General features: G+C 44.4%; 1 protein-coding gene across 13 annotated transcripts in view; it reads left to right on the top strand.

The window, feature by feature from the left end:
- LIMA1 (LIM domain and actin binding 1) overlaps nucleotides 1-18,446 on the top strand; it is a 107,733-nt gene extending 89,287 nt beyond the window's left edge. For 6 of the 13 annotated variants that reach the window (NM_001394893.1, NM_016357.5, NM_001394887.1 and 3 more), the window contains 3 exons: nucleotides 1,673-1,782; nucleotides 12,197-12,330; nucleotides 16,165-18,446. In NM_001394893.1, the coding sequence (NP_001381822.1) occupies nucleotides 1,673-1,782; nucleotides 12,197-12,330; nucleotides 16,165-17,170 (1,250 nt within the window). In that variant the 3' untranslated portion in view covers nucleotides 17,171-18,446. Of the gene's footprint in view, nucleotides 1-1,669; nucleotides 1,783-8,785; nucleotides 8,845-12,196; nucleotides 12,331-16,164 lie in introns of all 13 variants that reach the window. The other 7 variants (NM_001394892.1, NM_001113546.2, NM_001394886.1 and 4 more) reach the window with 4 other exon arrangements.

The following is a 24,002-nucleotide window of genomic DNA, read 5'->3' as shown; positions in this document are numbered from 1 at the left end:
GTGGATCACCTGAGGTCAGGAGTTCAAGACCAGCCTGGTCAACATGGTGAAACCCCATCTCTATTAAAAACACAAAAAGTTAGCCGGATGTGGTGGTGGGTGCCTGTAGTCCCAGCTACTCAGGAGGCTGAGACAGGAGAATTGCTTGAACCCAGGAGGTGGAGGCTGCAGTGAGCTGAGATCATGCCACTGCACTCCAGCCTGGGCAGCAGAGTGAAAATCCATCTCAAAAAAAATATATATATATATATATATGTATATATATGTTTGCTGGGCGCTATGGCTCATGCCTGTAATCCCAGCACTTCGTGAGGTTGAGGCAGGCAGTTTGCTTGAGCTCAGGAGTTGGAGACCAGCCTGGGCAACATGGTGAAACCCTGTCTCTACCAAAAGTACCAAAACTTAGCTGGGCATGGTGGCATGCATCTGTGGTCCCAGCTACTTGGGAGGCTGAGGCAGGAGGATCACTTGAGCCCAGGAGGCAGAGGTTGCAGTGAGCCGAGATCATGCCACTGCACTCCAGCCTGGGTGACAGAGTGAGACTCTGAAAAAAAAAAAAAAAAAAAATATATATATATATATACACACACACACACACACACGTATATATATGTATATATATATACATGTATATATATATCATATATACATGTATATATATATCATATATACATATATGATATATATGTATATATATATCATATATGTGTATATATATCATATATACACATATATGATATATATATACTATATATATATAAATTTCTTGTAGGTCACAAGACAAAAAAGAAAAACATATATATGTGGATTTCTAGCATCTCCCCAGGCTAGTTTACTGGACACTGAAAACCCTACAACTGAAATAGAATGATGAATTAAACAGATCTCTAGTTAATCCTACCTTAAAATTTCGGAGAAAAACTCCTTCTGCTTGAATCCAGAAACATTCTTTTTTTGCAATCATTTTTCTGGGACTAGAAATGTTTCTGAGAAATGTTTTTGACTAGGTTTATGAAACATTTTTTTGAAAAATAAGCCTTAATATTTTAGTACTTTGTTGACTCACCTCTTCATTTTGGCAGGAAAGTAACTCATGTAGTTGGAATTTCAATGATTATGAAAAAAACTTCATGGAGCCCTTTTCCATAATCTTCATCCATTGGTATCTGCTATAGAACTGACCAAAAACAGTGTCAGGTTACATGTATACACAAATGCGCGCACGCGCGCACACACACACACACACACACACACAGAGTACAAAATTTCTGCCCTCACATCTCCCCCTTTTTCCAACTTCAGTTGAAACACTTCAGAAAAAGTTATTAGGAATGTTAATGACCAAAAAGACATCTAAGTCTATAAACGGCCTTTAAAAATGACAAATGGCACAAGGAAGAAAGTTCTTTATACAGAGTGGTTTGGATTTCTGCTACGTGTGGCAGAGGGTAAGAAAGCCTCCTCACTGAGAACCTGATTTCTGACAGGACCAGAGAATACCTGAGCCATAGTTGTTAGTGTTCGAATATTCTTCAACAGAAAAGCAGTGTTTTTCCTGGTGTTGGAAGGATCTGTCATTAATGAAAGTGCCCAAACTTTGCTTTTCGGAAGAACACTTTCCAAGACATTCCATGAGATACTGTAAAATGTCTTCCTTTTGTAACTCAAGCAGGTGACTCCCAGGTTAAGAGTGAGGTTCAACAGCCTGTCCATCCCAAGCCACTAAGTCCAGATTCCAGAGCCTCCAGTCTTTCTGAAAGTTCTCCTCCCAAAGCAATGAAGGTATGATGGCAATTTCTCTCTGAGCCTTTGGACATTGGTCTACTGGTAGAGCTAATTGTACCTTTTATGATGATGATGTTGATTATAACCTGGTTTTGCTTTCCTGTGGATGATAATGCCACAGAAGAGCACACTGAAGCCAGTCGCTTTCCCTGGAAATCTTGCTGCCTCTGCTCAGGTCTTTGGCCCGGGAGCGAGAAGGCTCACTAATGACTCTCAGTTTGAACTCTGGAAAACTCATGAAAGTTTTAAAATAATGTCGGTTTTTTTATTTTTGTTTTTGTTTATTTATTATTATTATCTTTTTTTTTTTTTTGAGACAGAATCTCGCTCTGTCACCCAGGCTGGAGTGCAGTGGCATGATCTCGGCTTACTGTAACCTCCGCCCCCCCATGTTCAAGCAATTCTCCTGTCTCAGCCTCCTGAGTGGCTGGGATTACAGGCATGCGCCACCATGCCTGGCTAATTTTTTTGTATTTTTTGGTAGAGACAGGGTTTCACCATGTTGGCCAGGCTGGTCTCAAACTCCTGACCTTGTGATCTGCCTGCCTTGGCCTCCCAAAGTGCTGGGTAAGCCACCACACCTGGCCTTGTTTTTGTTTGTTTGTTTGTTTGTTTTTGTTTTGTTTTGAGACAGAGTCTCGCTCTGTCGCCCAGGCTGGAGTGCAGTGGCGCTATCTTGGCTCACTGCAAGCTCCGCCTCCCGGGTTCACGCCATTCTCCTACCTCGGCCTCCCGAGTAGCTGGGACTACAGGTGTCCTGCCACTACGCCCGGCTAACTTTTTGTAGTTTTAGTAGAGACGGGGTTTCACCGTGTTAGCCGGGATGGTCTCAATCTCCTGACCTCGTGATCCGCCTGCCTTGGCCTCCCAAAGTGCTGGGATTACAGGCGTGAACCACTGCGCCTGGCCTGTTTTGTTTTTTTGAGACAGGGTCTTGCTCTGTTGCTCAGGCTGGAGTATGGTGGTGTGATCACGGCTCACTGCAGCCTTGACCTCCCAGGCTAATGCAATCCTCCTGTCTCAGCCTCCTGAGTAGCTAGAACTATACGCACATGCCACCATGCCTGGCTTTTTTTTTTTTTTTTTTAAGAGATGTGATTTTGCCATGTTTCCCAGGCTGGCCTCAATCTCCAGGCCTTGGGTGATCTGCCTGCCTCGGCCTCCCAAAGTGCTGGGATGGGATTATAGGCATGAGCCACTGTGCCCAGCCAGGAAAAATCTGTTCAACTAAAATCAGCACATTGGACGAGATGTGCAATTTCACCTTAAAGATAATGGCTTCCTAATCTGCAGAGCTTGATCTTAACCTGTGGTTAGCTTTTTTTTTTTTTTTTTTTTTTGAGACAGGTTCTCACTTTGTCACCCAGGCTGGAGTGCAGTGGTGTGGTCACAGCTCCCTGCAGCCTCTATCTCCTGAGCTCAAACCATCCTCCCAAGTAGCTGGGACTATAAGCACATGCCACCACACCCAGCTAATATATTTTTTACATTTTTATAGGGATGGGGTCTCACTATGTTGCCCAAGCTGGTTTTGAACTTTTGGCTTCAAGTAATCCCCCCACCTTGGCCTCCCAAAATGCTGGGATTACAGGTATGAGCCACCAAACACACCTGGCCCTGTTGTTCCCACTTTTTTTTTTTTTTAGGACCTGTTGTTTACAACAATGTCATTAACATTTTTAACGAAAGAATGTGTCCACTGGAATGGGGGCTGGCCAGCCCATTTTCTGAAAAAAAAAAAAAAAAAAAAAAAAAAAAAAAAAAAATGAGGCCGGGTGTGGTGGCTCACGCCTGTAATCCCAGCACTTTGGGAGGCTGAGACGGGCGGATCACCTGAGGTCGGGAGTTCAAGACCAGCCTGAACAACATGGAGAAACCCCATCTCTACTAAAAGTACAAAAAAAAAAAAAAAAATTAGCCGGGCATGGTGGCACATGCCTGTAATCCCAGCTACTTGGGAAGCCGAGGCAGGAGAATTGCTTGAACCTGGGAGGCAGAGGTTGTGGTGAACCGAGATTATGCCATTGCACTCCAGCCTGGGCAACAAGCATGAAACTCTTGTCTCAAAAAAAAAAAAAAAAATGACATTCAAGCAACACTTATACTAAGGGTATAACATTAGATATTAAGAATTGAGGCCAGGCACGGTGACTCACAGCTATAATCCCAGCACTTTGGGGGGCCGAGGCAGGCGGATCACGAGGTCAGGAGTTCGAGACCAGCCTGGCCAACATGGTGAAACCCTGTCTCTAAAAATACAAAAATTAGCTGGGCGCAGTAGTGCGTGCCTGTAGTCCCAGCTACTTGGGAGGCTGAGGCAGGAGAATCACTTGAACCCGGGAAGCAGAGGTTGCAGTGAGCCAAGATCACACCACTGCTCTCCAGCCTGTGTGACAGAGTGAGATTCCATCTCAAAAAAAAAAAAAAAAAAAAAAAATTGGCCAGGCATGGTGGCTCACACCTATAATCCCAGCACTTTGGGAGGCCAAGGCGGGCAGATCACGAGGTCAAGAGTTTGAGACCAGCCTGGCCAACATGGTGAAAGCCTGTCTCTACTAAGAATACAAAAATTAGCTGAGCATGATGGCAGGCACCTGTAATCCCAGCTACTTGGGAGGCTGAGGCAGGAGAATTGCTTGAACCCGGGAGGTGGAGGTTGCAGTGAGCCAAGATCGCGCCACTGTACTCCAGCCTGGGCAACAGAGCTAGGCTCCTCAATCTATAATCTGCTTTTATTACCCAAGTTTTAAAAGTCGTCTTTTCCTCTTCTATGGGCAAATATATATTCCCATAAAAATAAGCCAAAAAATGTTTATTAAAAATGCAAAACTTATTTTAGGTTTGTTAGCTGACTTGTTTTAATTGACTAGCTTGCTAATGAGGGGCTACTTCACTCGTTTGGATTACCCACACTTCTTTAGTGTCTTTCTCCTCTAGTGCTCTTTTAAGTAGCAGGGTTGTGTTTCAAAAGTTTTAGCATTTGAGAGAAACTCAATAAATAGAATGAGTTTTAAGGTGGTTTGTGCTGCTCCCAACTCATGCTCATATCTGCCGTGCTTATACCTCTGACTGTGAGCATGATTGGTCCACAGATAAAAGTTTTACTGCACACAAAGTATGAAGAGGAGGGGACATCAGGGAGGGTTTGGAACAAAAGGAGGAAAGGGGAGAATCCAGGATTTAAAGAGTGGATTTAAAAGGTGAGCAAGGTGAAAAAGATAAAACATGAAAATTTTAAAGGAGGCAGAGATTTATGAGAAGAGTAAGGTTTATTGAAAAGGAACAAAAGGTAAAGAAAGCAGAAAGAGAAAGCAAGTCCAGGAAGAATGGGCGGGGTCATGGTGATTGAATCTGTACATGTGCTCCGCATGGCTGTGTTCTGGCCTTGAAGGTTGGCTGATGCTGCCATCAGCACTTTCTTTGTCAGTATCTGGAGTCTCACAAAGTAGCAAACCCCACAGGGTTACTTTCCTCTCTGACAGCAATGCTGCCTAGATGTGAGTGCTCAGGTTGTGGTTGGGGATCAAGAACGGCTAGCAAATCTAACTTGGTGATGGATTCTGTGTAACCCAGGACCTGGGGAAATACAGGAACTAAAATCTGTTCTTGTGACTATTTGAATTCTCAATGCAGTCTTGCATCCCTCGTTCAACTGCTTGGCCAGACTTCCTTGTACTGGGTGGGGATCCCTCCCCACTCAAGTTCCACGGGGTGAGCGGATGAGTGGTGTGTGAAAGGGCACACCTCACTTAGGTCTCCTTTGGCACCAGGGAGAGGAAACAGAGGTAAAGCTGTCTCTGTCTCTGCCTCAGACCCATGCCTACTCCTTTGGCACTGGTCACTCAGCAGTAGAATAGTAGTATAGTAGTAGACGGCCCTATCTGCATAGTCACACACCTCGGGTTTTGAGCATTGTGTAATGACCAGAGTAAACTGGCCTGGCTGTTTGCCTCTGGTCCACAGCTCAGATGATCATGGTGTACAGAGCCTGGTGGAACCCAGTTACATCTCCACTGTTATTTAAGGGCAATTTATTTGCTCTTCCTCAGAGTTCCCCTTTACAGTCTGCAGGCAAATATACAGATACTTTAGTAAATGTTTATAGGAAGACCTGCTGGCAGAACTGGTCTCATGGCTGCAGACTATGAACAGAAGTTGTTTCTCCACTTTGGGAAATTACATACAGCTAAGAATAAACTTGTTCACTCAGAATAGATTTTTGGATCCCACACATCCTGGAAAAAACTGTTTCTTAGTGCCTGTCTGTTATTGAAAAGAGGACATCTAAGGTAGAGATTCAATTCATTTCAAATTTTAGCTTAATAAAGTAAAAAGAAATGATAGAGGTCTTTAAGGATTCTGTACACTTTGAACACTGGCCACAGAGCTTACTTGGTAAGACTTGGTACCAATGAAGTTACAGGTTCATTCTCAAAAAGGGTGTCGTTCTGAGAGCAGAGCTTAGTGGACCCTGTGAGAAGTATCAGGCCTTTCTACTTCAAGAGACTCAGAGATCTCTTAGGCTTTATGTCCTCCCATTTGAAAGAAATCATCCCCTAAACGTTCCCAGAGGAGAGGATAGGGAAGGAAGAGGCAAGGAGATGTGACTGGCCCTAGGGAACAACTGTCTGCCCTCACTGTGTACGGGACAACCAAGTCCCAGGCCTCCTCACAGCGTTTTGCTGATGAATGTTGAGAGAGAACATGGCACTCTACGTGAGAGGGCAGCACACACTGCACTGCCCCTCTCGGTACCCTGCCAGCTGTTCCTCCCCCTGAAGACACAGTGGGAGGTTTTATGCTGGCTTGCAAAGCTGTCAAAATTATGCTAGAAGAGTGTCTAGAATCTTTTCTCACTCACTCACTATTACTGCCTTTTCAGAGGACTGTCCTTTCTTCTCTGTGTAGAGCACTCTATTTAAGATATGAATATTCCCCAAAATGCTTTCATAGAGTTTCACAGAAAATTAGAGGAAGGGTTAAGGCTGCACAGGGCTGGCCCAACCATTTGCTGTGTGGTGAAGAATTTCAGTTTCATTACCTAGATATTTTACACAAATTGGAAGGAATGAAAGGCATTTTGTGGTATTCTGAGGAATAGAGGCTTGACGTCAATACAGAATTTTCATCTTCTTTCACTATGTCTAAAGGCTAGTTAACATCAATGTCTGTTGTCAGCTGCTCCCCCCTACCTCCCACACACACCACAACTGGGGCCTTTATTAGAGTAAAAAATATATGAGACAAGAGGGTAAAAGAATGTAAATGAAGCCATGCAAATTTGTTAGAAAAACAGCTTTAAGTAGATGGTAATCAACAGAGGGTCTGTAATATCCCTCAAACGGGAAAGACAGTATTTATGAACATCAATTATTTATAGATTACCTCATTCACTCTAGAATATCCTGAAGATATTATCTACACATTTTTATTTGAAACAAAGGGAAGACCATAGTTTGTTCAAATTGCTGTCGTGGGATTAATTTCATTTGGGTTAGCATCTGCTCTCCTCCCCAAAGAGTTTCCCTTGGCTGTGGAAATTTAACATTCCAGGACAATTTAGAAAATGCTCTCTTGGTTTGTGAGTCAGGAGTTCTGAGTTTGTGCAGTGAGCAGGTCTATGCAGACCTACCCACAAAGGCTGAGGGAGCTGAAAAGCCAAAGAAAGAGGCTGACAAATCCAGTTTCTCAGAAAGAAACATTTAATAAGAGCTTATGAACAGAAGTGATGTCTAGGAGGCCATGAGACAGTGGATCCCTGCACCAGCCCTCCAGAAAATATCCTTTATATAGCAAGGTTTTAGGATAAAACATGTGCAGCTAGTCACGCTTGACTTTCTTGCAAAACTTATCACTGGAGCGATTGGATAAGCATCTTTATGAGGGGTTGTCTATGCTCTGGGCACTACCCCTTTATGAGGGATAATCTATGCTACAGGCATTGTTTAAAGACTTTGCTGCAGAACAAACCACCTTGGTATGCAGGAGTCAAACCACCAGTTAGCATGGTGGTTTCACTCCAAGATGGCATCACTCCTGCCATGCAACAGGCTGTTTTCCTACAGTTTTAATTCTATTTCTGTTATTGACTATGTGAACTTTGATAAGACCTGGTGTTTAACTTTCTACTTGGTAGGGGCAAAATGGTGGGAGAAGGGGAATGAAAAAAAAAATCTCTTACTAACTGAAAAAATATACTGTGAAGATAAAAAATGTCTAACATTGTCGTATTGGCAGTGTTTTAAACATGGCTGTGCCAAGTCTGAGCATGCCATGAAGGCATGGGCAGGATGTATGCCAGGCCTGTGATAATGGTAGAGATTTTTAGGCACTGACTATGCTTCCTGTTGTCTGAATAGACATGGGGGCAATTACAGAAAAGTGGCTGAGAGCCCAGGACATAGAAAATAAAGGGGAGGCACAGCCGCAGCCGCTGTGAGTTGGCATTTTACCATGTCGGGACCCTCTTGTCTTTATGAAACTAGAAGGGGCCCTTAGGCAGCTGCTGCTGCATAAACCTTAAATAATATTGAAAAGGGTTGATGTGAGAAATGAATAGGAATAATGGGACTCTGATAGGTCTGGCTAGTTAGAAGCTCAAGGTTAGTCAATTATGTGAGCTAGCAATCTATTAACTTGATGTTAAGGAGGAAGACAGACTTTTTGCTCCATGTGGGTGAAGGCTCTATTAAAGAGAGAGCCGATGTGGGTCAGGTGTGGGAGGTAGTAAGCCACTAAAGAATTGTTAATGAGACACTCCTTGTGTGGGTGAAGGCTCATAAAAGCTCGCTCTCCTGAGCTGGGATATGTTCCAGCCTCAGGTAGATACGAGTGAGGCTGATTTTGCCATGATTAGCAGAGTTACTTAAAAAGGAAAAAAAGAAAAATGTGGTCTTATTCTTGGATCTGAGTCTCTGAGTTTCAGCTCAGCTGCAGTAAAGCTCTCCAGGGCACGCCAAATGCTGTGTATTCATTGAAGGTTCCTGTTTGTCTCTTCCAGCTTCTGCCTCCTGCTCCTGGTACCTAATTTCTGCTCCTGCCTTCCACTTTCCTCCTAATGTGAGCTCAACTTTCAGCTTTCTCACAGGTTCTCCTTTCCTTCTGTTCCCTGGGCTGCTTCCCCCTCCCACAGTGTGTGCCTCCCCTCCGTGTGTTTGTGATGGAGGAGTGCTCTGCGTCCTTCAGTTCCCCTTTAGCAGAACAGTATCCATCTCCTCTTATCCCATGTGAAGTTTCTGTCTCCTGCTGTGTCTTTACTGACCAGAATGAGCACTTACTCTCCTACATCTATTTCAAGTGTTAAAAAATACAGAATTCCGGGCCAGGCGCAGTGGCTCACACCTGTAATCCCAGCACTTTGGGAGGCCAAGGTGGGCAGATCACAAGGTTAGGAGTTAGAAACCAGCCTGACCAACATGGTGAAACCCCATCTCTACTAAAAATACAAAAATTAGCCGAGTGTGGTGGTGCACGCCTGTAATCCCAGCTACTCAGGAGGCTGAGGCAGGAGAATCGCTTGAACCCGGAAGGTGGAGCTTGCAGTGAGCTGAGATCGCGCCACTGTACTCCAGTCTGGGTGACAGAGTGAGACTCTGTCTCAAAAAACAAAACAAAACAAAAAAAACAAAAAACGCAGAATTCCCTTTCTGCAACTGAAAATGATTTTTAATCTGATAAATACATTTGTCCTACTTTTACATTATGTGAATTGTGATTTGTACAGGCTCTCTCCAGTAGCATCCATTATACTATTACACCAAAAATTTATTCTGCTTTTTAATATCTCTCCTTTTGTTGTTGTTGTTTTGAGACAGAGTCTTGCCCTGTCTCCAAGGCTGGAGGGCAGTGATGAGATCTCAGCTCACAGCAACTTCTGCTTCCTGGGTTCAAGTGATTCTTGTGCCTCAGCCTCTCTGGTAGCTGGAATTACAGGCGCCCGCCACCACGCCCAGCTAATGTTTGCATTTTCTGTAGAGACAGGGTTTCACCATGTTGGCCAGGCTGCTCTGGAACTTCGACCTCAAGTGATCCACCTGCCTTGGCCTCCCAAAGTGCTGGGATTACAGGCCTGGGCCATCGCACCTGGCCAGTGTATCTCCTACCTAGACAAAGACCTAGTCCTTTTAGAGAAAACTTAATTAAAACTCTGCAAAGATATCTCCATTTAGCAGTGTCCATATAAGAAAAAAAGAATTCTGAACTCCAAATACGATAATGTGTTAATTACTTGCAACAACATTCATTACAATAACATTTGGTTATATTTAAATACCTCCCTTATGCTAAACTAGGTTGTAACCTGTGGTCTTTTGATTCTTTAGATGTTTCTTTTTAGGACATTGCCCCTAGAATAAAGCAGAGTCCTGGTAACTAGCCATTTCCACTCAGCTTTGTTCCTTCCTTCTTAAATCCCTTGGGCACTACTTGGGAGTTTACCACTAATTTTATTAAACTTCCTTTTATAGATTTCTTTATTTTCATTTTATGCACATTTTCTGCTCTCACTTCCTGCCCAAATCTACTTGGAAAACCATTTTTATTTTTTGCTTTACCTCCTAGTGAATCATGTGGCAAGTGAACCAACAGTCTGAATTTTTTATGGGCCTGTTTTGGGTTTTTTTTTTTTTTTTTTTTTTTTGAGACCAAGTCTCACTCTGTTGCCCAAGCTGGAGTGCAGTGGCTCAATCTCGGCTCACTGCAACCTCTGCCTCCCAGGTTCAAGCGATTCTCCTGCCTCAGCCTCCCGAGTAGCTGGGACTATAGGCACACGCCACCATGCCCGGCTAATTTTTGTATTTTTAGTAGAGATGGGGTTTCACTATGTTGGCCAGGCTGGTCTTGAACTCCTGACCTCGTGATCTGCCTACCTCAACCTCCCAAAGTGTGGGATTATGGGCGTGAGACACTACACCCAGCCTATTTTGGATTTTTTTTACTCAAAATTCTATCTTGCCCATAACCTGGTTCATTTCAGGCTTAACTATCCAGGTCCTGGGCCTTGGGATTAATTTGCATTACTTACCATCATGTGTTTTCTGGTGAGAGCCCAGGCTGATCATGGCAGCAAAAGCACCTCCTAATTGCTGATGAGAGCTTCCTGGCCACCTAAGCTGTCTCCCGCATCTACTGGTTGAGGTGTTTGTGTTGGGCAAGTCAAGGGTTAACTCCCATACACCTAGGGACTTTGCATTCCCATCTACTCCCCACCCCTTAGTAGCCATGTAACTATTTCTTTTCTTTATTTTTTGAGATGGAGTCTCACTCTGTCGCCCAGGCTGGAGTGCAGTGGCGCCATCTCGGCTCACTACAAGCTCTGCCTCCCGGGTTCACGCCATTCTCCTGCCTCAGCCTCCCGAGTAACTGGGATTACACGAGTGTACCACTACGCCTGCCTAATTTTTGTATTTTTACTGGAGACGGGGTTTCACCATGTTGGCCAGGCTGGTCTCGAACTCCTGACCTCATGATCCGCCCACCTCGGCCTCCTAAAGTGCTGGGATTACAAGCATGAGCCACCGCACCTGGCCCATGTAACTATTTCTTATCATGTGAAAGCTTATAATATTTTTGGAGTTCTGGCTTTTATCAGTGCTAGAATACCAACTGTTTTATATTCTTTAGGATTGAGTTTATCAGGTAGAACCACTGTGCCCATGTTTGTTCCAACTTTACAAACAGTTCATGAATTCCCAGTCATTAATACATTAACCAGTGTGTTTCCCATTGCATTAGTTTTTCTCTCCATTGGTTTTTAGAAATATTATAGAACCTATAGCTTTAATGGGCTATGCTTCCCTCTGGTGTCCTAATAAAATACTTTGTGTCTCTTATAAATTGTTCCACTTGTGTGTCAGTTTTGACTTGTTTAAAAATAGTATGTCTAGTTGATTGAACAAATCAAGATTATAAGCAGAGCAGAATAAAAGGGGCTTTACTGAAATGTCTTTCCTAATTCCCAAAGCCAAATGCTCTTCCTCTCCTTGAAATTTATCCCCTTTAGAATCTGTCTTGTGTTTACTTGGCACTTGAATCAAACTTCTTTCTTCTGTGTGTGATAACATTTTCTCCTAATCCCTGCACTCCCCCCCCCGACCCCTTCCCCCATCCCCTGCTCCTAACATTTTTTATGTGGGTCGTGACTTGTCTAAGCCATTCTTTGTAATCCAGACGTAGCTCCACCTATCCTTGGTGGCTGCTACATTTAGAGCAGCCACACAGTTTGGGAAGGGAATATCAAGAGAGCCTCTTGGCTTTAAAGAGTCAGCTGATAGAATTGTAGCAGGTTTAGTGCTCCATGAGAATTGACTGACCAGCTAAGGGAGCCCTTAGACAAAGTAAATTCTAGGGTCCATCTCAAGACAGTGCTAACTCATCGCTGCCCATGCTAAAGTTGTCTTTTTGTTTTTCCTAGAAGTTTCAGGCACCTGCAAGAGAGACCTGCGTGGAATGTCAGAAGACAGTCTATCCAATGGAGCGTCTCTTGGCCAACCAGCAGGTGTTTCACATCAGCTGCTTCCGTTGCTCCTATTGCAACAACAAACTCAGGTAAGTCAGCCCAAAACAAGCCATCTGTCTATAACTGGAACTCTAGAGGGAGTCTTTGGCTTTTAGAGCACTGGTGCTAAAAGCTACTGTGCTAATGATATTCTGTTGAAGGCTCTTGAATAAAGTAAAAAGCATCATTTAGTGACAAGTCTTTCATACCAAATAATGATGGTGTTTGGAACTTCTTGGTGTATTGATATGTTAATTTACATGTTAGGACCGAAGCTTAAATAATATGAGTTGCAGGTAAACCCCCCTGTGACCTAATTTAATAGAATGTTTTCCCTTGGTATCACAGAATCACAAAGTTAAGAAATCTCAAGAGGTTACTTGTTTAAGCCCTTACTTGTCTTAACCACTGTATAAATGATAATAATGGCAATAATAATAGCCCCTGGAGAGCATGTCTTTTTCTCTATGTTGCCTCACTTTATTTCTGAGAAAATAGTTGTTACATATCATTTCTTCCAAGTAACTCAAAGTGCAAATATAAATGTGACAAATCGGGGAAACATTCCAAATTAACTCATTTTAATCATAGAGTCTTACAGAAGGAAGTAACCAAGATGTCACTTTCTCCAGCTTTCCTTTCTGAGCAATCCTTCCTAAAATACTCTTGAAAGATGTTTTGGCATCTGTGTGACATTTCTAGCTATTAGATAGCTCTAGCTAGACAGCTTCTCCAAACATGCAGCCAAAGTGTACCTCAGTCACTTCCACTCATTAGTTCTTCTGCTGCCCACTGTGTTAATTTTTTTCTCCAAAGCACCTTTTTTTTTTTTTTTTTTTTTGGATACAGAGTCTCACTCTGTTGCCCAGGGTGGAGTGCAGTGGCGTGATCTCAGCTCACTGCAACCTCTACCTCCTGAGTTCAAGCGATTCTCCTGCCTCAGCCTCCCAAGTAGCTGGGACTACAGGCGCCCGCCACCACACCCAGCTAATTTTTTGTATTTTTAGTAGAGAAGGGGTTTCACCATGTTAGCCAGGATGGTCTTGATCTCCTGACCTCGTGATCCACCCGCCTCGGCCTCCCAAAGTGCTGAGATTATAGGTGTGAGCCACTGTGCCTGGCTTAAAGCACCTTATTTCTTTTGTGGAAGTGCTGCCGTTTTATACCCCCTTTAACATTTGTCACTCTTCAGAATGGTTCGTAACTTAAGGGAAAAAACTTTAAAAAGATAAAACTTATCATCCTGCAAGAGACACCAAATCTCCTAAAGGCTTGTCTAGGACTGACATTAGGGAAAAACTACCTCCTGTCAACTCCTCACCATTCTTCTATTAATCAAGCTTATATCTAGGTGTGGATATAAGGATCACACCTGTAATCCTAGCATTTTGGGAGTGCCCAGGTAGGAGGATCACTTGATGCCAGAAGTTCAAGACTAGCCTGGGTAACATAGAGAGACCCCATCTGGTTTTTCTTTTTGAGATGGAGTCTCACTCTGTTGCCCAGGCTGGAGTGCAGTGGTGTGATCCTGGCTCACTGCAACCTTTGTCTCCCAGGTTCAAGCGATTCTCATGCCTCAGTCTCCTGAGTAGCTGGGATTACAGGCGGGCACCACCACGCCCAGCTAATTTCTTTCTTTTTTTTTTTTTTTCCGGAGATGGAGTCTTGCTCTGTCGCCCAGGCTGGAGTGCAGTGGGATGATGTCAGCTCACTGCAACCTCCACCTCCCAGGTTCAAGCAATTCTCCTGCCTCAGCCTCCCGAGTGGTTGGGACTACAGGCGTGTGCAACATGCCTGGCTAATTTTTGTATTTTTCATAGAGATGAGGTTTCACCATGTTAGCCACGCTGGTCTTGAACTCCTGACCTCAGTCAGTCTGCCCTCCTCGGCCTCCCAAAGTGCTGGGATTACAGGTGTGAGCAACCACGCCTGGCCAATTTTTGTATTTCTTAGTAGAGATGGGGTTTCACCATGTTGGTCAGGCTGGTCTCAAACTTCTGACCTCAAGTGATCTGCCCACCTCGGCCTCCCAAAGTGCTGGGACTGCACCTGGCCGGAGATCCCATCTCTATGAAAAATTTGGGGAGGCTGAGACTGAGGCTGGAGGATCACTTGAGCCCTGGAGGTCAAGGCTGCAGTGAGCTATGATCATACCATTGCACTCCAGCCTGGGTGACAGAGCAAGACCTCCACTCAAAAAAAAAAACAACAAAAAATGGCTGGGTGCAGTTGCTCATGCCTGTAATCCCAGCACTTTGGGAGGCCGAGGTGGGCAGATCACGAGGTCAGGAGATTGAGACCATCCTGGCTAACAAGGTGAAACCCCGTCTCTACTAAAAATACAAAATATTAGTCAGGTGTGGTGGCGAGTGCCTGTAGTCCCAGCTACTCGGGAGGCTGAGGCAGGAGAATGGCGTGAACCTGGGAGGCGGAGCTTGCAGTGAGCTGAGATCGTGTCACTGCACTCCAGCCTGGGTGACAGAGCGAGACTCTGTCTCAAAAAAAAACAAAAATGGCTGGGCGTGGTGGCTCACGCCTGTAATCCCAGCCCTTTGGGAGGCCGAGGCGGGCAGATCACGAGGTCAAGAGATCGAGACTATCCTGGCCAACATGGTGAAACCCCGTCTCTACTAAAAATACAAAAATTTGCCGTGCATGGTGGCACACACCTGTAGTCCCAACTACTCAGGAGGCTGAGGTAGGAGAATCGCTTGAACCCAGGAGGCAGAGGTTGCAGTGAGCTGAGATCATGCCACTGCACTCCAGCCTGGCGACAGAGCGAGACTCTAACAAAACAAAACAATACAAAAATTAGCCAGGCGTGGTGGCGCACTCCTGTAATCCCAGCTACTCAGGAGGCTGAGGCAGGAGAATTGCTTAAACTTGGGAGGCGGAGGTTGCAGTGAGCCAAGATTGTGCAACTGCACTCCAGCCTGGGCGACAGAGCGAGATTCTCTCAAAAAAAGAAAAGAAAAAGAAAAAAAAAATATATATATATATATGTATTTATATACCGTTAAGAATAGAGTTAATTCAAGCACAAAAGCTTGATGATGGCTACCCAGAAACACTGACTCCAAATGAATGGGGTCAGCATTCCAAAGTGGAGAAAGTTAGTTTCACTTACACAGAAATTTTAGCAAAGATTATGACATTTTTCATATAAGACCAGTGCATATACCACAGTGATTTGATTGGGTACAGATTGGTACATTCCAAGGAAGATTATCACTCGCAAAGAAGGGATAGTGATCTGAGGGGGTCTTATCTCTGGTGCCCTTTGGTCTTCATAATTTATAGTGAAAAGAAAGAGTTGCAGCTACATGCTGTGTGACCCAGGTTGCATAGCCACATTCCTCTCAAGGCTCAGAATGATTTAAAGTTTCTATTACTGTTGGTTTTTTTTTCTTTTTTTTTTTTTTTAAGACAGTCTCGCTCTATCACAGTGGCACAATCTCAGCTCACTGCAACCTCTGCCTCCCGGGTTCAAGTGATTCTCCCACTTCAGCTTCCCAAGTAGCTGAGACTACAGGCATGTGCCACCACACCCAGCTAATTTTTAAATTTTTTGTAGAGATGAATTCTCACTATGTTGGCCGGGCTGGTCTCAAACTCCTGGGCTCAAGCGATCCTCTCACCCTGGCCTCCCAAAGCGCTGGGATTACAGGCATGAGCCACTGCACCCAACCCGTGCTTTGTGTTATGATAAGAAAACAAATGTGCTAAAATGGGGGTAAGGAATTCCTGGTCACTGAAGGGCTTTTAAAGATCTTTTTCTTACTTGGCATCTTCTGAAAATACTGGAATTGCCAGATTTTAGCCTCCTGGTATAAGTGAGAATGTGAAGATTTGCTAAGTTTATGCTTTTTTTCTTTTAATGACAGTCTAGGAACATATGCATCTTTACATGGAAGAATCTATTGTAAGCCTCACTTCAATCAACTCTTTAAATCTAAGGGCAACTATGATGAAGGCTTTGGGCACAGACCACACAAGGATCTATGGGCAAGCAAAAATGAAAACGAAGAGATTTTGGAGAGACCAGCCCAGCTTGCAAATGCAAGGGAGACCCCTCACAGCCCAGGGGTAGAAGATGCCCCTATTGCTAAGGTGGGTGTCCTGGCTGCAAGTATGGAAGCCAAGGCCTCCTCTCAGCAGGAGAAGGAAGACAAGCCAGCTGAAACCAAGAAGCTGAGGATCGCCTGGCCACCCCCCACTGAACTTGGAAGTTCAGGAAGTGCCTTGGAGGAAGGGATCAAAATGTCAAAGCCCAAATGGCCTCCTGAAGACGAAATCAGCAAGCCCGAAGTTCCTGAGGATGTCGATCTAGATCTGAAGAAGCTAAGACGATCTTCTTCACTGAAGGAAAGAAGCCGCCCATTCACTGTAGCAGCTTCATTTCAAAGCACCTCTGTCAAGAGCCCAAAAACTGTGTCCCCACCTATCAGGAAAGGCTGGAGCATGTCAGAGCAGAGTGAAGAGTCTGTGGGTGGAAGAGTTGCAGAAAGGAAACAAGTGGAAAATGCCAAGGCTTCTAAGAAGAATGGGAATGTGGGAAAAACAACCTGGCAAAACAAAGAATCTAAAGGAGAGACAGGGAAGAGAAGTAAGGAAGGTCATAGTTTGGAGATGGAGAATGAGAATCTTGTAGAAAATGGTGCAGACTCCGATGAAGATGATAACAGCTTCCTCAAACAACAATCTCCACAAGAACCCAAGTCTCTGAATTGGTCGAGTTTTGTAGACAACACCTTTGCTGAAGAATTCACTACTCAGAATCAGAAATCCCAGGATGTGGAACTCTGGGAGGGAGAAGTGGTCAAAGAGCTCTCTGTGGAAGAACAGATAAAGAGAAATCGGTATTATGATGAGGATGAGGATGAAGAGTGACAAATTGCAATGATGCTGGGCCTTAAATTCATGTTAGTGTTAGCGAGCCACTGCCCTTTGTCAAAATGTGATGCACATAAGCAGGTATCCCAGCATGAAATGTAATTTACTTGGAAGTAACTTTGGAAAAGAATTCCTTCTTAAAATCAAAAACAAAACAAAAAAACACAAAAAACACATTCTAAATACTAGAGATAACTTTACTTAAATTCTTCATTTTAGCAGTGATGATATGCATAAGTGCTGTAAGGCTTGTAACTGGGGAAATATTCCACCTGATAATAGCCCAGATTCTACTGTATTCCCAAAAGGCAATATTAAGGTAGACAGATGATTAGTAGTATATTGTTACACACTATTTTGGAATTAGAGAACATACAGAAGGAATTTAGGGGCTTAAACATTACGACTGAATGCACTTTAGTATAAAGGGCACAGTTTGTATATTTTTAAATGAATACCAATTTAATTTTTTAGTATTTACCTGTTAAGAGATTATTTAGTCTTTAAATTTTTTAGGTTAATTTTCTTGCTGTGATATATATGAGGAATTTACTACTTTATGTCCTGCTCTCTAAACTACATCCTGAACTCGACGTCCTGAGGTATAATACAACAGAGCACTTTTTGAGGCAATTGAAAAACCAACCTACACTCTTCGGTGCTTAGAGAGATCTGCTGTCTCCCAAATAAGCTTTTGTATCTGCCAGTGAATTTACTGTACTCCAAATGATTGCTTTCTTTTCTGGTGATATCTGTGCTTCTCATAATTACTGAAAGCTGCAATATTTTAGTAATACCTTCGGGATCACTGTCCCCCATCTTCCGTGTTAGAGCAAAGTGAAGAGTTTAAAGGAGGAAGAAGAAAGAACTGTCTTACACCACTTGAGCTCAGACCTCTAAACCCTGTATTTCCCTTATGATGTCCCCTTTTTGAGACACTAATTTTTAAATACTTACTAGCTCTGAAATATATTGATTTTTATCACAGTATTCTCAGGGTGAAATTAAACCAACTATAGGCCTTTTTCTTGGGATGATTTTCTAGTCTTAAGGTTTGGGGACATTATAAACTTGAGTACATTTGTTGTACACAGTTGATATTCCAAATTGTATGGATGGGAGGGAGAGGTGTCTTAAGCTGTAGGCTTTTCTTTGTACTGCATTTATAGAGATTTAGCTTTAATATTTTTTAGAGATGTAAAACATTCTGCTTTCTTAGTCTTACCTAGTCTGAAACATTTTTATTCAATAAAGATTTTAATTAAAATTTGAACTTTTCAATGTTTCTCTTCCATTATTTTCTTACGTTATTACTGTCTCTCAGGATCTACTTTTGCAGTTTGGGAAGAAAAAAATGGTACCACTTTTTTAAGTTTTAGTTGAATAGAAGCATTATCAATACATCTCACCACTAGATGGTAGTGTTGGGCTGATCTTGGATTTCAATCCTCCCTGAAGGAAGACAAATTTTTCTGGAAAATTGCAGGCAACTTGGCAAGAGAATTAATGTGTGCATTCAAAATGAGGTATTTTACCAATTCGAAATCTAGTGGTGGTTTTTATTGTTTATAACACTCAACATTGAATAATTCACCTTACAATTATGCCTAGCATGCTGAATGGATTTCCAAATGTCTCTGCTGAAAATGGACTTGTTTTTCACTTTAGGCAGATGCTTTTTTTTTTTTTTTTTTTTTGTAGACCGAGTCTTGCTCTGTCGCCCAGGCTACAGTACAGTGGCACCATCTCGGCTCACTTCAACCTCCGCCTCCCCGGTTCAAGTGATTCTCCTGCCTCAGACCTCCTGAGTAGCTGGGATTACAGGCGCCTGACACCACGCCCGGCTAATTTTTGTATTTTCAGTAGACTCAGGGTTTCACCATGTTGGCCAGGCTGGTCTCAAACTCCTGACCTCGTGAACCACCCACCTCGGCTTTCCAAAGTGCTGGGATTACGTAAGGTGTAAGCCACCGTGCCTGGCGCTTTTTTCTTTTTTTTCTTTTCTTTTTTTTTTTTTTTTTTTTTGTTGTTGTTGCTGTTTTAAGATCAATGTTTGGCCGGGTGCAGTGGCTCACGCCTGTAATCCCAGCACTTTGGGAGGCCGAGGCGGGCGGATCACGAGGTCAGGAGATCAAGACCATCCTGGCTTACATGGTGAAACCCCATCTCTACTAAAAATACAAAAAATTAGCCGGGCGTGGTGGCGGGCGCCTGTAATCCCAGCTACCTGGGAGGCTGAGGCAGGAGAATGGCGTGAACCCGGGAGGCGGAGCTTGCAGTGAGACAAGATCGCGCCACCGCACTCCAGCCTGGGCGACAGAGCTAGACTTCGTCTCAAAAAAAAAAATCACTGTTCACACCAAGTGGGCAGATGCATTTTTGATTGATTGATATCCTTGCCTGTAGAGGCAACTGTTCCAATTGTTCAGGCTTTCTTTTTAATTGGTAGGGTTGAAATGTGGATTTCCTTGGAGAGTTAAGGCATGCTTTTTGAGTCATCTGTTACATTTTCCAGGATCCCTGTGTTTTCTAGAGTCTTGCCTGGTTTTCTGAGTGGTTGGTAGGATACTACTTTCTGCTCTTGCCCCCACTGAGTCATTTAAAGATCCATGTTCAGACCGGGCGCAGTGGCTCATGCCTGTAATCCCAGCACTTTGGGAGGCCGAGGCGGGCGGATCACCTGAGGTCAGGAGTTGGAGACCAGCCTGGCCAACATGGAGAAAACCCATCTCTACTAAAAATACAAAATTAGCCGGGCGTGGTGGCACATGCCTGTAATCCAAGCTACTCAGGAGGGTGAGGCAGGAGAATCGCTTGAACCCGGGAGGCAGAGGTTGCAGTGAGCGGACATCACACCATAGCACTCCAGCCTGCGCAACAACGACGAAACTCCGTCTCAAAAAAATAAAAAGCCGGGTGTGGTGGCTCATGCCTGTAATTCCAGCACTTTGGGAGGCAGAGGCGGGAGGATAACCTGAGGTTGGGAGTTCCAGACCAGCGTGACCAACATGGAGAAACCGCGTCTCTACTAAAAATACAAAATTAGCCGGGCATGGTGGCAGGTGCCTGTAATCCCAGGTACTAGAGAGGCTGAGGCAGGAGAATCGCTTGAACCTGGAAGGCAAAGGTTGCGGTGAGCCAAGATCATGCCATTGCACTCCAGCCTGGGCAACAAGAGCAAAACTCCATCTCAAAAAAAAAAAAAAAAAAATCCATATTCACGTTAATCCAAAAGCTCCCACTGATATAAAATATCCAATCCTGGCTTGAACTTCTGTGACTTGCGTTTTACTATAATCCATCCACATGGTACTCACATTATGCACTGACTTTATACAAAAAAGTTTAAGTACCTGTGGATATCAGTTGAGTGGGCCACCCCTTGGGGACTGAGATTACCCTCAGAAGAATTCTTTTTGACTGGGTGCGGTGGCTCACACCTGTAATCCCAGCACTTTGGGAGGCTGAGGTAGGTGGATCACAAGCTCAGGAGTTCAAGGCCAGCCTGGTCAGCATGGTGAAACCCCATCTCTACTAAAAATACAAAAATTAGCTGGGCATGGTGGTACGTGCCTATAGTCCCAGCTACTCAGGAGGCTGAGGCAGGAGAATCACTTGAACCCAGGATGTGGAGGCTGCAGTGAGCCGAGATTGCACCACTGCACTCCAGCCTAGGCAACAGAGTGAGACTCCATCTAAAAAAAAAAACAAAAAAACTCTTTTCTATGCCTTTCAAGGGCTAAGATATAGACGTATCATGGGTACACAGAGTAGGAACAAGGAATAGCTCCAGAGTCAATATAAAGAAAGGATGTCCTAGCCAAAAGAATGACCAGATAACACTGAACATTCTTAGAAAACAAAAGCAGCCAAACAGAAAAAGCATTAATCATTTGTTCTTTTAGCTCTCTAAATGAAGGCTACCTTGTTTGGACCTGGTATATCACTGGTGACTATAGGGTGATGACAGCTTTTCTGTTGGTAAAGCAGAAAAAGGGGCCAGCTTGGGACTTATGATGGTTAAGGAGGCTCTGCTCATGACTGCTACAAGGCCAGCTTGGTTCCAGTGACTTGCTGGATCACTCTTGGGCAAGGTGAAAGTAAATTTGCTTTGCATTACATATTTCATTAGCAATGTTTCCCAACAGCCAAGAGACTGGGAATTGGTACATGCTCATTTTTCTGGGGATAGAATCATGAACAGGGGCCAGGCACAGTAGCTCATGCCTGTAATCCCAGCACTTTGGGAGGCCAAGGTGGGCAGATCACCTGAGGTCAGGAGTTGGAGACCAGCCTGGCCAACACGGCGAAACCCCGTCTCTACTAAAAATACAAAAATTAGCCAGATGTAGTGGCGTGCACCTGTAATCCCAGCTACTTGGGAGGCTGAGGCAGGAGAATTGCTTGAACCCGGGAGGCAGAGGTTGCAGTGAGCTGAGATGGCGCCACTGCACTCCAGCCTGGGTGACAGAGCAAGACTCCATCTCAAAAAAAAAAAAAAAAAAAAATCATGAATAGGGTCTCAGACCAAGATCATTGTGTACTGGTGGTTCCTGTATGCTAAGTTAGTATGTCCTCTGTTCCTTGAGATGCTGATTGAAAATCCCATGGGGCTGGGTTTATTACTTCCTTTTAAAATATATCTTTTCTTTTTTTTTTTTTTTTTTTTTTTGAGATGGAGTCTCCATTTGTTGCCCAGGCTGGAGTGCAGTGGCACAATCGGGTCACTGCAACCTCCGTCTCCCGGGTTCAAGCGATTCTCCTGCCTTAGCCTCCCGAGTAGCTGGAACTACAGGCACCTGCCACCATGCCCAGCTAATTTTTATATTTTTGTACAGGTGGATTTTTGCCATGTTGACCAGGCTGGTCTTGAACTCCTGACCTCAGGTGATCCGCCTGCCTCAGCCTCCCAAAGTGCTGGGATTACAGGCGCGAGCCACCCTGCCCAGCCCTTTAAAACTGTATCTTAATATAGTGTAGTTACCATGAAGCTATTCCTGGGTTTGGATGGAAGTGGCTTCAGGCAGTGGTTCACAGAACAGCAGCAGTGGCATCACCTATGAGTTTGTTAGAAATGGGAAATGCAAATTCATAGATCCTACCCCCAAACTCATGAAAGCAGAATCTCTCTGGATGGGGTCCAGGAACTTAAAGAAACTCTCTTTATGCGAGATGGGACAAGCTGATATCTGAGCTGATGCTAAAGTTTGAGAGGCACTGAACTAAAATGAAGCTAACCAGCTGGGCTCGGTGGCTCACACCTGTAATCCCAGCACTTTGGGAGGCCAAGGCGGGCGGATCACCTGAGGTCAGGAGTTTAAGACCAGCCTGGCCAACATGGTGAAACCTCGTCTCATAAAAATACAAAAATTAGGCCGGGCGCAGTGGCTCACGCCTGTAATCCCAGCACTTTGGGAGGCCAAGGTGGGCGGATTACGAAGTCAGGAGATTGAGACCATCCTGCTAATACAGTGAAACCCCGTCTCTACTAAAAATACAAAAAAATTAGCCGGGTGTGGTGGCGGGCGCCTGTAGTCCCAGCTACTAGGGAGGCTGAGGCAGGAGAATGGCGTGAACCTGGAAGGCGGAGCTTGCAGTGAGCCGAGATCGCGCCACTGCTCTCCAGCCTGGGCGACAGAGCTAGACTCCGTCTCAAAAAAAAAAAAAAAAAAAAAAAAAATTCGGCCGGGCGTGGTGGCTCAAGCCTGTAATCCCAGCCATTTGCGAGGCCCAGGCGGGTGGATCACTTGGGTCAGGAGTTCCATGGCCAACATAGCGAAACACAATCTCTACTAAAAATACAAAAATTAGCAGGGCATGGTGGAGCCTGCCTGTAATCCTAGCTACTCGGGAGGCTGAGGGGAGAGAATAGCTTGAATCCAGGAGACGGAGGCTGAAGTGAGCCGAGATCCCGCCAGTGCACTCCAGCCTGGGCTACAGACCGAGACTCCGTTTCAAAAAAAAAAAAAAAAAAGCCGGGCGCGGTGGCTCACGCCTGTAATCCCAGCACTTTGGGAGGCCGAGGCGGGCGGATCACGAGGTCAGGAGATCGAGACCATCCCGGCTAAAACGGTGAAACCCTGTCTCTACTAAAAATACAAAAAATTAGCCGGGCGTAGTGGCGGGCGCCTGTAGTCCCAGCTACTTGGGAGGCTGAGGCAGGAGAATGGCGTGAACCCGGGAGGTGGAGCTTGCAGTGAGCTGAGATCCCGCCACTGCACTCCAGCCTGGGCGACAGAGCGAGACTCCGTCTCAAAAAAAAACAAAAAACAAAAAACAAAACAAAACAAACAAACAAAAAAAACACTTTAGGCTGGGCGGAGTGGCCTCACGCCTGTAGTCCCAGCACTTTGGGAGTGTGAGAAATCGGAAAGTTCTTCAAAGATTATAAAAAGTCACAATTTCTTACTATAAGATTGCTATCCACTGTGTGTGTGTGTGTGTGTGTATGTATGTGTGTGTGTGTGTGTGTGTGTGTGTGTGTGTGTGTGTGTATTCCAAATCAGCTGTCCTAGATTGCTCCTGCATGCCTGGACAGAACTAGACAAGCCCCAGCCCACAGTGCATGCCATTCCTTATTTGGTGATGCTTCCTTAATGATCCCTGGGCAACTTCCTTTTCTTTCTTTGTTCTGTTCCCCTTAACCAATTTTAAAAGTTTTAAACTAATAGCCAATCAGGTAAAGTGTAAAATGTGAGGTCCTATTCCAGCCAATGGAAAATGGACACAGCAGTAGGGTAGACACCTCAGATTATAAATAACTCTGTCTCCTTTGTTCGGTGTGCTCTCATGGCTAGACAGCTTTTGAGTAGCAGCACCCTTTCTGCAG

This window comes from Homo sapiens, chromosome 12 (assembly GCF_000001405.40).
Source record: "Homo sapiens chromosome 12, GRCh38.p14 Primary Assembly".
NCBI lineage: Eukaryota > Metazoa > Chordata > Mammalia > Primates > Hominidae > Homo > Homo sapiens.
This window is presented reverse-complemented; position numbering and strand designations above follow the sequence as displayed.